General features: G+C 45.1%; 1 protein-coding gene across 2 annotated transcripts in view, besides 2 other annotated features; it reads right to left on the bottom strand.

The window, feature by feature from the left end:
• Positions 1-13,802, bottom strand: part of MSTO1 (misato mitochondrial distribution and morphology regulator 1) — a 51,722-nt gene that overhangs the window by 26,539 nt on the left and 11,381 nt on the right. For both annotated transcript variants that reach the window (XM_047424007.1, XM_047424008.1), the window contains exon 2: positions 1,726-1,779. The gene's annotated coding sequence lies outside the window, so the exon portion shown is untranslated. The remainder of the gene's footprint in view (positions 1-1,725; positions 1,780-13,802) is intronic.
• Positions 1,318-1,481: a silencer, noted in NCBI's record as "fragment chr1:155556739-155556902 (GRCh37/hg19 assembly coordinates)". NCBI's record gives its function as "represses an EF-1alpha promoter that drives an FKBP-Casp9 reporter gene in an ReSE screen in HepG2 liver carcinoma cells and phorbol 12-myristate 13-acetate-treated (for megakaryocytic differentiation) K562 erythroleukemia cells {active_cell/tissue: HepG2 | K562(+PMA)}" and the evidence as "EXISTENCE:reporter gene assay evidence [ECO:0000049][PMID:32094911]".
• Positions 11,285-11,422: a silencer, noted in NCBI's record as "fragment chr1:155546798-155546935 (GRCh37/hg19 assembly coordinates)". NCBI's record gives its function as "represses an EF-1alpha promoter that drives an FKBP-Casp9 reporter gene in an ReSE screen in K562 erythroleukemia cells {active_cell/tissue: K562}" and the evidence as "EXISTENCE:reporter gene assay evidence [ECO:0000049][PMID:32094911]".

The raw sequence follows: 13,802 nt of genomic DNA, 5'->3' as shown, positions 1-13,802 counted from the left end.
TGGCACATAATAATACCCAACAAATAATAACTATTATTAGTGAAATGAGGCATCTTAGAATTCTGAGTACCTGCCATATAGAAGGTACTGAAAAACTATTTGGTAAATAAATGAAAAAATGAAGTAAACCAGCAGAATGGTCTTTTTCACGTACAATTTTGTTTTTTAATCATTTTAGATGCTAAAATTGTAAATTGGCAACTTTTTTTTTTTTTTTTTTTGAGACACAGTCTCACTCTGTTGCCAGGCTGGAGTGCAGTGGCTCAGTCACGGCTCACTGCAACCTCCGCCTCCCAGGCTAAAGCGATTCTCCTGCCACAGCCTCCCGAGTAGCTGAGATTACAGGCGCCTGGCACCACGCCTGGCTAATGTTTGTATTTTTTTTAGTAGAGACGGGGTTTCACCATTTTGGCCAGGCTGGTCTCGAACTCCTGGCCTCAAGTGATCCACCCACCTCGGCCTCCCAAAGTGCTGGGATTACAGGTGTGAGCCACCGCGCCCACCTGGCAACTAGTTGTTATTTTCGATACTTCATTAAAGGAGAATTATCATTAATTCAACTAGAGAAATAAAGTTAATAAAAATTACAGTCAATCTTAGTTATGTGTTATGGAAAAATATTAATTATCCTATCCCATGGTAAATTCTCAAGCACAGTTATTCCTTTTTTTTTTTTTTTTTTTCTGAGACGGAGTCTCGCTCTGTCGCCCAGGCTGGAGTGCAGTGGCGCGATCTCGGCTCACTGCAAGCTCCGCCTCCCGGGTTCACGCCATTCTCCTGCCTCAGCCTCCCAAGTAGCTGGGACTATAGGCGCCCGCCACCACGCCCGGCTAATTTTTTTGTATTTTCAGTAGAGACGGGGTTTCACCGTGTTAGCCAGGATGGTCTCGATCTCCTGACCTCGTGATCCACCCGCCTCGGCCTCCCAAAGTGCTGGGATTACAGGCGTGAGCCACCACGCCCGGCCTTTTTTTTTTTTTTTTTTTTTTGAGACGTAGTCTCACTTTGTTGTCCAGGCTTCAGTGCAGCAGCACAATTTCGGCTCACCGCAACCTCCACCTCCCGGGTTGAACGGATTCTCCTGCTTCAGCCTCTGGAGTAGTTGGGATTACCAGCGCGTGCCACCACGCCCGGCTAATTTTGTATTTTTAGTAGAGACGGGGTTTCCCCATGTTGGCTATGCTGGTCTCGAACTCCTACCTCAGGTGATCCTCCCGCCTCACCCTCTCAAAGTGCTGGGATTACAAGCGTGAGCCACGGCGCCCGGCCAAACACAGTTATTCTACTGAAACTTGTTATAGACAAAGTTCTCCAGAGCATTTGACTCTAGATACCATGAATCCATCTAAAAAGAAGAAATCTACTTAAAGACAGTATTCAAGGCTGGGTATAGTGGCTCATGCTTGTAATCCCAGCACTTTGGGGGACTGAGGCAGGTGGATAACTTGAGGCCAGGAGTTTGAGACCAGCCTGCCCAATATGGCAAAACCCCATCTCTCCTAAAAATACAAAGATTTGACAGGTATGATAGTGTTCATCTGTAATCCCAGCTACTTGGGAGGCTGAGGCATGAGAATTGCTTGAACCTGGAAGGCAGAGGTTGCAGCAAGCCGAGATTGCGCCACTGCGCTCCAGCCAGGGTGACAGAGCAAGACTGAGTTAAAAAAATAATAATAAAAGGCAGTATGCACAAAGTGTTCAGATCAGCCGTCAGTCCAGACTCACCTTATGGATCCTAGAGATAAGCCTTGTTATTCCTTTCAGCATTGTCCTTGTACTCTTAAAAAAAAAAAGTGAAAGGTAAAGCACAAATGGGAAAAAATATTTGCAACATGGGAAACTGACAATGGATTATTATGGGTTAATAATATGGAGTAATATCTAGAACATATAAAGCATGCCTACAGCCTAATAAAGAACAATGAGCAAAAGACACAAACAAGCATTTCACAGAAAAGAAACACAAATGGCTAGCAAACCCATGAAAATATTTTTCAACCTCATTACAAATCAGGGTAATGCTAATTAAAACCATGAAAATGAGATACCATTTGAAGCCACCTTATTACAAAAATAAAAAAATCAGGGCCAGGCATGGTGGCTCACGCCTGTAATCCCAGCACTTAGGGAGGCCGAGGCGGGTGGATCACCTGAGGTCAGGATTTCGAGACCAGCCTGGCCAACATGGTGAAACCCTGTCTCTAACAAAAAAAAAAAAAAAAAAGACAGAGAGAGAGAGAAAGAAAAAAACTTCTACATGTACACTGAGAAATAGAAATAAAGATGCTCATATTAGCAGAGTACAAATTATAAAAAGACTGTAAAAAAAACAAATGTCCGTATGTCCATTGACAGAACATTGGATAGATACAGTCATAGAATGGAATACTGGAAAGCAATACAAAGAACAAATTACCATTACATTCATCAATATGGATCTCAAAAATGCATACTGAGTGAACACTACATCTAGCATAGTATGACATGTAAAATAAAAAACCAAAAAACTTCATTGATTATTTGGGGGATATATATATAGGAAAACTGAAACAAAAAGGCAAGAGAATGATAAGAACAACAAATAGAATAATGGTTACTCTTAGGGAGAAAGGAAAAAGATGGGGGCAGGCACACAAGGAAACTGATAATAAGCTATTAACTAACACTGGATAATGGATACATGAGTATTTGTTTTATTATTTTTATAACATGTGTATTATATTAATTATTTTGCATGCTGAAAATACTTAAAAAGCCTGAATCTTTTGGAGCTAAAAGAGATTTAAAAATACTTAAATGTAACTCTCAATATCCAGTAGTTATAGAATAACTTAAGTTAAATGTCTATGTAATTGATTAGTTCATTTTGGCTATCATTTTCACTTTTCTTTTTTTTTTTTTTTTTTGAGACGGAGTCTCGCTCTGTCACCCAGGCTGGAGTGCAGTGGCGCGATCTCAGCTCACTGCAACCTCCGCCTCCCGGGTTCAAGCAATTCTCCTGCCTCAGCCTCCCAAGCAGCTGGAACTATAGGTGCCCGCCACCACGCCTGGCTAATTTTTTGTATTTTTAGTAGAGACGGGGTTTCACCGTGTTAGCAAGGATGGTATCGATCTCCTGACCTCGTGATCCGCCCGCCTTGGCCTCCCAAAGTGCTGGGATTACAGGCGTGAGCTACCACGCCCGTCCCTCATTTTCACTTTTCTTGCAACCAAAATCTTTAAAGCAACAACAGAGTTGCACCCATTTAACCGAATAGTTAGTGAGCACCTACTATGTACCAGGCCCTGTGAATACAATGGTGAACAAACTGTTATAGTCCCTGACCTTATAATCAAGGAACTTAAAGTACAGTCAAGAGAATCACATAGGCTGGATATGGTGGCTCATGCCTGTAATATCAGCACTTTTGGAGGCTGAGGTGGGAAGACTGCTTGAGCCCAGGAGTTTGAGACCAGCTTAGATGACACAGTGAGACCACCTCCACAAACAAACAAACAAACAAACAAACAAAACAAAAAAAAAAACCTGGCACTGTGGCACATGCCTGTAGTCCTAGCCACATAGGAGGCTGAGGCGAAAGGATCACTTGAGCCCAGGTGTTCAAGGCTGCAGGGAGCTATGATCGCACCACTGCACTCCAGCCTGGGTGATACAGTGAGATATTGTCTAAAAAAAGAGAGAGAGAGGTACAGACTCATATAAATTCCTTTAAATTTTATTTCCTCTTTCTTTCTTTTTTTTTTTTTTTTTTTTTTTTGAGACAAGCTCTCACTCTGTTGCCCAGGCTGGAGTGCAATGGCAAGATCACAGCTCACTGCAGCCTTGAACTTTTGGCCTCATGTGATCCTCCTGCCTCAGCCTTCCAAGCAGCTGGGACCATACATGCCCATTGCCTGGTTAATTAAAAAAAGAAATTATTTTATTGGTAGAGATAAGCCTTCCTATGGTGCCCAGGCTGGTCTTGAACTCCTGGGCTCAAGCGATCTTCCTGTCTCAGCCTCCCAAATGCCAGGATTACAAGTGTGAGCCACCATGCTCTGCCTCAAGTTTGTTATTTTTTATTTTTCTTGAGACAGGGTCTTGCTCTGCCACCTAGGCTGGAGTACAGTGGCACAATCACAGCTCATTGCAGCCTCAACCTCCCGTATTCAAGCGATCCTCCCACTTCAGCCTCCCAAGTAGTTGGGATTACAGGTGCAAGCCACAGTACCTGGCTTTTATATTTTGTAGAGACAGGGTCTCGCTATGTTGCCAGAGCTGGTCTTTCCTGGGCTCAAGTGATCCTCCCGCCTTGGCCTCCCAAAGTATTGGGATTACAAGCGTGAGCCACCTGCACAGCCATACTACTTAATGAAGACGCCAAAGCACTCCTAAACTCAGTCATTCAAGAAGCATATGACATGCTTCCACACGCCCACACTACACAGAGTCTATAGTGGTGAATAAGACTGGGGTGGTCTCTACTGGCCTGCCTGCCTTTTTACTTGTGGGATTTCAGGGCTCCTTTTCTAGAGTGCAATGTCACTCCAATAGTATTTGACCTGCCCCACTGTGCTCCCCAGATCTTCTCAATGCTCCCCGGCACAACCACTACTGGAAGAGCTGTGGACTAGGAAGCAGGCTGGGTACTGGAGAGGAAGGAGTGTGTGACATGGTCCAGATGCCCTTCTTTCCATAGGCGTGCCTGTGGACACTGGAGCTATTATTTTGCCTATGTTATAGACACTATGAGAAATGACGGTCAGAACGTGTAATCAGCTTCTGTTCCAGGACACTATCATCTTGAACCCAAATTAAAATAAATGATCTACCAGCATCCAGACTTAAACATTTTCTCCACTGAAGCCTTGCTTAAAATTCTTCAGTATTTCCTCACTACTTTATTATTTTGTGAGATCGGGTCTCAGTCTGTTGCCCAGGCTGGAGTGCAGTGGCGATCATAGCTCACTGCAGCCTCTAACTCCTAGGCTCAAGCAATCCTCCTGCCTCAGCCTCCTGAGCAGCTGGGACTACAGGCACGTGCAACCACCTCGTGGCTATATTTTATTTTTATAGAGATGGGGTCTGGCTATGTTGCCTAGGCTGGTCTCTAACTCCTGGCCTCAAGTGATCTTCCTGCCTTGGCTTCCCAAAGTGCTGGGATTGCAGGTGTGAGCCACTATGCCTGGCCCTCACTAGTTTTCAAGTAAAAAAAAAAAAAAAAAAGATATACCTTCTATATGGGAATAACAAGATACTTTAAGAAGAAGGGGAAGGACCAGGTGCAGTGGCACACATCTATAATTCTAGCACTTTGGGAAGCCCAGGCCGGAAAAAATCATTTGAGGCCAGGAGTTGGAGATCAGCCTCGGCAACGTGGCCACACTGCAACTCTACAATTTTTTTTTTTTTTTAATTTGCCAGGCATGGTGGTCTGTGCCTGTAGTCTCAGCTACTTGGGAGGCTGAGAAGGGAGGATCACTTGAGCCCAGGAGTTCAAGGCTGCAGTGACCAGCGCACTCCAGCCTGGGCAACAGAGTGAGATCCTGCCTCCACAAAAACAAAAAACAAAACAAAAACAAAGTTGCAGGTAGGTGGGTAAGGAGAGAAAGAAATCTCAAAAGTCTCACCCTAAAGCAGACAACCTAGACTAAATCACATTTCAAAATATTTTAAAATACCTATAAGCCGGCCGGGCGCGGTGGCTCATGCCTGTAATACCAGCACTTTGGGAGGCCGAGGCAGGTGGATCACGGGGTCAGGAGTTCAAGATCAGCCTGGCCAAGATGGTGAAACCCCGTCTCTACTAAAAATACAAAAAATTAGCTGGGTGTTGTTGTGGGCACCTTGTAATCCCAGCTACTAGGGAGGCTGAGGCAGAGAATTGCTTGAACCCGGGAGGCAGAGGCTGCAGTGAGCCGAGATCGTGCCACTGCACTCCAGCCTGGCGACAGAATGAGACTCTGTCTCAAAAAACAAACAAACAAAAAATCTATAAGCAGAGAAATCCTATCAACAAGCCAAATCAACACAAAAGAGAGGAATGTTTGCTTATTCTATTTTCCAGGGTATATACAAATCAGGACTCTGCAAGATAAGGCTGAATGCCACTAATACTATGAAAAATTGCGTACTGATTTCTGTTTTCAGTCTTTTCATGTCATTTGAACACTTCTCTGCAGAACACAAGTTAAACATTTTGCTTGTAACTGGACGGTAGGTAAGGGACAGGTTTCCTATGAGAAATGACTGATGGTTGGCCGGGCGTGGTGGCTCACGCCTGTAATCCCAGCACTTTGGGAGGCCGAGGCGGGCGATCATGAGATCAGGAGATCGAGACCACCTTGGCTAACATGGTGAAACTCTGTCTCTACTAAAAATACAAAAAATGATTGAACTCAGGAGGTGGAGGTTGCGGTGAGCCGAGATCATGCCATTGCACTCCAGCCTGGGCAACAAGAGCGAAATTCCGACTCAAAAAAAAAAAAAAAGCCAGACATGGTGGTGCACACCTGTAGTCCCAGCTACTCGGAAGGCTGAGGCAGGAGAATCGCTTGCACCGGGGATGCGGAGGTTGTAGTGAGCCAAGATCGCGCCACTGCACTCCAGCCTGGGTGACAGAGCAAGACTACATCTCAAAAAAAAAAAAATTATGGTAAAAATTAAAGATGAATGATAATTATCTCCAGCCTAATAGGAAGCCAAAACAAACAAAATTCTCAAAAATGTCATTAATATACTTCTCCATGCCGGGCGCAGTGGCTCACGCCTGTAATCCCAGTACTTTGGGAGGCTGAGGCAGGAAGATCACTTGAGGTCAGGAGTACTGGTCAACATGGCGAAACCCCATCTCTACTAAAAATACAAAAATTAGATGGGCGAGGTGGGACATGCCTATAATCCCAGCTACTTGGGAGATTGAGGCATGAGAACTGCTTGAACCCTCCCAGGTTCAAGAGGAGGTTGAAGTGGGCTGAGATCACACCACCGCACTCCAGCCTGGTCGACAGAGTGAGACTCTGTCTCAAAATAATAATAATAATAAAATATAAAGTAAAATAAAATACTTCTCCAATATTTTTCAACTGCCATCATTCTGAGCTTTTCCCCATTATCTGCCTCAAGTATTCCAAGACAAAAGAGTTCTGCTTCCAACCACAGTCTTTATTTAAAATGTAGATAATGGCTGGATGAGGTGACTCACACCTATAATGCCCACACTTTGGGAGGCCGAGGTATAAGGATCACTTGAGCCCAGGAGTTCAAGACCAGCCTGGCAAGATAGCAAGACTGCGTCTCTTAAAAACAATTAAAAAACAAAATAAAATGTAGATAAACAAATCCCAAATAGTTGCCTTAGTCTTTTGAAGCTTTTCCAAATGCATGTAAAAAGACATTTTTTTGTATTTGTAATAATCTGTAAGAAACCACAGATTCTTACACACTATTGTGTGTAAAACTCTGCCGCTACTCTGATGAAACTGTTTAGGTAGTGTTAGAGTATTAGAGTTCTCTCTCCCTTTTTTTTTTTTTTTTTTTTTGAGACAGAGTCTCACTCTGTTACCCAAGTGGAGTGCAGTGGCACAATCTTGGCTCACTGCAACCTCTGCCTCCTGGGCTCAAGCAATTCTCCTGCCTCAGCCTCCCGAGTACAGATGCATGCCACCACACTTGGCTAATTTTTTGGTGTTTAGTAGAGATGGGGTTTCACCATGTTGCCCAGGGTGGTTTTGAACTCCTCAGCTCAGGCAATCCGCCCACCTCGGCCTCCCAAAGTGCTGGGATTACAGGCGTGAGCCACCGCACCTGGCCAAATTATCTTTCTTTAAACAAACAACAAAAAGAGTATTCTTGCCTAGACAGGCCAAATGTAACTTCAGAAGGAAGTCAGAAACAGCCTGTGCCAAATTTAGAAAGGTATCCCAAAGACTATGTGCTAAAACTTCAGTGCAGTGGCGTGATCACGGCTCACTGCAACCTCGAACTCTCAGGCCGAAATGATCCTTTCACCTCAGCCTCCCAAGTAACTGGGACCACAGGTGCACACCACCACGCCTGGCTAATTTATTTTTATTATTTTTGTAGAGACAGGGCAGGGTCTTACTATGTTGCCCAGTCTGGTCTCAAACTCCTGGGCACAAGGGATCGTCCTGCCTCCATCTCCCAACATGCTGGGATTACGGGTGTGAGCCACCACACTCGGCCCTTTTTTTTTTTTTTCTTAGAGTCAGGGTCTCATTATGTTACCAAGGCTGGTTTCAAACCGCTGGCCATGCAACCTCTCCCTTCAGCCTCACGAGTAGTTGGGATTACATGTGCGAGCCACTATACCCAGAGAGAATAACAGATTCTTTTTTTTTTTTTTTTCTTTTTGAGATGGACTCTTGCTCTGTTGCCCAGGCTGGAGGGCAGTGGCCCGATCTCGGCTCACTGCAACCTCTGCCTCCCGGGTTCAAGAAATTCTCTTGCCTCAGCCTCCCAAGTAGCTGGGATTACAGACACACCACCACGCCTGGCTAATTTTTGTATTTTTAGTAGAGACGAGGTTTCACCATTTTGGCCAGTCTGGTCTCAAACTCCTCAACCTCAAGTGATCTGCCTGCCTCGGCCTCCCAAAGTGCTGGGATTACAGGCGAGAACCACAGATGCTTAAGATTATGTCGACCTAGTCTAAGGATTGAACTCGTTCAGAACTAAATCAGTGCTACATTGATCTTAATATTAATCACTGAATATTTTTCTGAAATAGGCTCTATAATAAGCAAATTAAAGGCATTATCTTACAACAGTCCCATCAGGTACACGTTATTATGCTCAGCTGAAAATAAGTATGGATAGATTAACTCCAAGGGTATATATCCTAAAATCAGGCAGTTTTAGAATTGAAATCTATGTTTGACTCTCAAGCCTTTCCCATTAGCCACTATATATGCTACACTGTCAATCAGCAAATGCCTAATGATTTCCAGTGATGGGGAACTCAATAGGAAGTCATTATGGTTTTTACACAGCTTTTAATAAAAGTTCTTCAGTAGTTCGAGGCAACATGTCTCCTTGTAGCTTCCATTCACTGTCCTAGTCTTCCTCTTGGGTTTTTTGTTTGTTTGTTTGTTTGTTTGTTTGTTTGCTTGTTTTGAGATGGAGTTTCACTCTTGTTGCCCAGGCCAGAGTGCAATGGCTTGATCTCGGCTCACCACAACCTCTGCCTCCCGGGTTCAAGCGATTCTCCCGCCTCGGCCTCCCGAGTAGCTAGGATTGCCTGCATGCGCCACCATGTCCATGTCCAGCTAATTTTGTATTTTCAGTAGAGACGGGGTTTCTCCATGTTGGTCAGGCTGGTCTTGAACTCCCAACCTCAGGTGATCCGCCTGCCCCAGCCTCCCAAAGTGCTGGGATGACAAGCGTGAGCCACCACACCTGGCCTCCTCTTGGGTTTTACAAGCCATCTTCCACATGACAGCTTTTCAATTATTAAAGGTAGTTATGGGCCGGGTGCAGTGGCTCACACCTGTAATCCCAGCACTTTGGGAGGCCGAGGTGGGCAGATCACCTGAGGTCAGGAGTTTGAGACCAGCCTGGCCAATATGGCGAAACCTCGTCTCTACTGAAAAAAAAAAAAACAAAAAAAAAACCACACAGGGCCGGGCGCGGTGGCTCACGCCTGTAATCCCAGCACTTTGGGAGGCCGAGGCGGGCGGATCACAAGGTCAGGAGATCGAGACCATCTTGGCTAACACGGTGAAACCCCATCTCTACTAAAAATACAAAAAATTAGCCGGGCGCGGTGGCGGGCGCCTGTAGTCCCAGCTACTCGGGAGGCTGAGGCAGGAGAATGGCGTGAACCTGGGAGGCGGAGCTTGCAGTGAGCCGAGATTGTGCCACTGCAGTCTGGCCTGGGCTAAAGAGTGGGACTCCGTCTCAAAAAAAAAAAAAAAAAAAAAGATTAGCCGGGCGTGGTGGCGCATGCCTGTAGTTCCAGCTACTTGGGAGGCTGAGGCACAAGAATCACGTGAACCTGGGAGGCGGAGGTTGCAGTGAGCCAAGACTGCACGCCAGTGTGGGTGACAGAGTGAGACTCTATCTCAAAAAAAAAAAAAAAAAAAAAAAAAAAAGAAAGGTAGTTATGGTCCTCTGCTCCCCACCCCTCCCCCATAAATGCTTTCAGTTTCCTAAAGCAATTATCATGCAGTACAAGTCCCTTCTCTATATTACCCCAATACACTTCAGGTATGATCTACTGTTTCCCTAATTTAGGATATTATATTTCCAAGAGCGACTTTTGTAACTCCATCACACCAGTGCTTCATACGGAGAACACAGTTCACTAAAATCACCAGTCCTTTTTTTAAAAAAATATTGCTACTATCAAAATCCCAGCAATCTTTTTGGTCAAAATTGTCAAGCTAGCTAGGTGCGGTGGCTCATGCCTATAATCCCAGCTCTTTGGGAGGCCAAGGCGGGTGGATCAATTGAGCTAGGAGTTCGATACCAGCCTGGGCAACAGGGTGAAACTCCGTCTCTACGAAAAATACAAAATTAGCTGGGTGTAGTGGCTCGTGCTTGTAGCCCCAGCTAGTTGGGGAGCTGAGGTGGGAGGATCGCTTGAGCCTGAGAAGTCGAAAGTGCAGTGGACTCTAGCGTCGCGCCACTCCACTCCAACCTGGGTGACACAGTGAGACCCTGTCTTAAGAAAAAACTTTTGAAGCTGATCTCAAAATTCATATGGAAATGCCATAGACCTAGAATAGCCCAAGCATTCTTGAAAAATAACAAATTTAAAGGACTCATACATCTTGATTCCAAAACTTACGATAAAGCTACAGTAATCAAGATAGTCTGGTACTGGCATACGCTTACATCATGGTCAACTGATTTTCAACATGGATGCCAAGACACTTCAATGAAGAAAGAATAGTCTCTTCAACAAATAGTGCTGGGACAACCTGATACTCATGCAAAAGAATGAAAATGGACCCCTACCTTACATTATACACAAACATGAATGCAAAATAGCTCATAGACCTAAATGTAAGAGCTACAGGTATAAAACTTGGAGGGGGCGGCCGGGCGTGGTGGCTCACGCCTGTAATCCCAGCACTTTGGGAGGCCGAGGCGGGTGGATCACGAGGTCAGGAGATCGAGACCATCCTGGCTAACATGGTAAAACCCCATCTCTACTAAAAATACAAAAAATTAGCCGGGCGTGGTGGCAGGCGCCTGTAGTCCCAGCTACTCCGGAGGCTGAGGCAGGAGAATGGCGTGAACCTGGGAGGTGGAGCTTGCAGTGAGCTGAGATTGCGCCACTGCACTACAGCCTGGGTGACAGAGCGAGACTCCATCTCAAAAAACAAACAAACAAACAAAAAAAAGACAAAAAAAAAAACTTGCAGGGGTGAGTTTTCTAACTTTTTTTTTTTTTTTTTTTTTTTTTTTGAGACGGAGTTTTGCTCTTGTTGCCCAGGCTGGAGTGCAATGGCACGATCTCGGCTCACTGCAACCTCCGCCTCCCGGGTTCAAGCCATTCTCCTGCCTCAGTCTCCCGAGTAGCTGGGATTACAAGCGCCTGCCACCACGCCCGGCTAATTTTTTGTATTTTTAGTAGAGATGGGGTTTTACCATGTTAGCCAGGATGGTCTCGATCTCCTGACCTCAGGTGATCCACCCAGTTTGGCCTCCCAAAGTGCTGGGATTACAGGCGTGTGCCACTGCGCTCAGCCTCTAATTTTCTATAGCAGAAAATACAGGAGTAAATCTTCATTATCGTGTGTTATGCAATGGTTTCTTAGATATAACATCAAAAGCACAAGCAAAAGAACTAAAAATAGGCTGGGCACAGTGGCTCACACCTGTAATCCCAGCACTTTGGGAGGCTGAGGTGGGCGGATCACAAGGTCAAGATATCGAGACCATCATGGCCAACATGGTGAAACCCCATCTCTACTAAAAATACAAAACTTAGATGGGCGTGGTGGTGCGCACCTGTAGTCCCAGCTACTCAGGAGGCTGAGGCAGGAGAATCACTTGAACCCGGGAGGCGGAAGTTGCAGTGAGCTGAGATCGCGTCACTGCAGTCCAGCCTGGTGACAGAGACTCCGTCTCAAAAAACAAAAACAAAAACAAAACAGAACAAAACAAAAAAACTATAAATAGATAACGAATTGTATCCAAATCAGACACTTGTACTTCAAAGGATACCATCAAGTAAGTGGAAGACAACCCACAGGATGGGAGAAAATATTTGCAAATCACATAGAACTTAACTTATCTCCATAATATATAAAGAACATTTACAACTTAATAAAAAGGCAACTCAATTTAAAAATGGGGGGCCTGGCGGGGTGGCTCACACCTGTAATCCCAGCACTTTGGGAGGCCGAAGCAGGCGGATCACCTGAGGTCAGGAGTTTGAGACCAGCCTGGCCAACATGGAGAAACCCCTTCTCTACTAAAAATACAAAATTAGCTGGGCGTGGTGACGTGTGCCTGTAGTCCCAGCCACTTGGCAGGCTGAGGCAGGAGAATCGCTTGAGCCCAGGAGGTGGAGGTTGCAGTGAGCCGAGATCACGCCATTGCACTGCAGCCTGGGCAACAGAGCGAACTCTGTCTCAAAAATAAATAAATAAATAAATAAATAAATAAATAAATAAATAAAAATAAAATAAGACAAAAATAAACAATAAAATAAATAAATAAAATAGGCAAAAGAGCCAGGTGCAGTGGCTCACACCTGCAATCCCAGCACTTTGTGAGGCTGAGGCAGAAGGATTGCTTATGCCCAGGAGTTTGAGACCAGCCTGGGTAACATAATGAGACCTGCTCTCTACAAAAAATTTAAAAAATTAGCCAGGTGCGGTGGCGTGCCACTGTGGACCCAGCTATTTGGGGGGCTGAGCGGGGAGGATCACCTGGGTCTGGGAGGCTGAGGCTGCAGTGAGCCGTGATTGCACCACTGCACTCCAGCCGGGGGCAACAGAGTGAGACCCTGACTCAAATTAAGAAAAAAAAAGGCAAAAGATTTGAGCAGGCATTTCTCCAAAGTATAAAAGTTATACAAATGGCCAATAAGCACATGAAAAATGCTCAACATTATTAGTCATCTAGAAAATGCAAATAAAAACCACAATGAGATACCACTTCACACCCACTAGGATGGCTCAAATCAAAAGAACTGACAATGATATGTGTTGGACAGGATCTGGAAAAACTGGGATTCTCTCTCTCTCTTTTTTTTTTTGAGGGTCAAAGAACTCATTTATTTTTACTCATAGAAAGTACAAGTATTAGCCTGGCATGGTGGCTCACACCTGTAATCCCAGCACTTTAGGAAGCTGAGGCGAGTGAATCACCCGAGGTCAGGAATTTGAGAGCAGCCTGGTCAACATGGCAAAACTCCGTCTCTACTAAAAATACAAAAATTAGCTGGGCATGGCGGCGCATGCCTGTAATCCCAGCTAATCGGGAGGTTGAGGCAGGAGAATCGCTTGAACCCGGGAGGTGGAGGTTGCAGTGAGCCGAAATAGTGCCACTGCACTCCAACCTGGCAACAGGAGACTCCGTCTCAAAAAAAAAAAAAAAAAAGAAAAAGTTCTAAAATTAGATAGTGGAGGCTGTGCACGGTGGCTCAGGCCTGTAATCCCAGCACTTTCGGAGACCAGGAGTTCGAGACCAGCCTGGGCAACATAGGAAAACCTTATCTCTACTACTAATAAAAAAAATTAGCTGAACATAGTTGCCTGTGCCTGTAGTTCTGGCTGCTCAGGAGGCTGAGGCAGGAGGATCCCTTGAGTCAAGAAGCTAGAGGTTGCAGTGAGCTAGGATTGCA

This window comes from Homo sapiens, chromosome 1 (genome assembly GCF_000001405.40).
Source record: "Homo sapiens chromosome 1, GRCh38.p14 Primary Assembly".
Classification (NCBI taxonomy): domain Eukaryota; kingdom Metazoa; phylum Chordata; class Mammalia; order Primates; family Hominidae; genus Homo; species Homo sapiens.
Note: the sequence above shows the minus strand (reverse complement) of the source record. Positions and strands in the feature narration are given on the sequence as shown.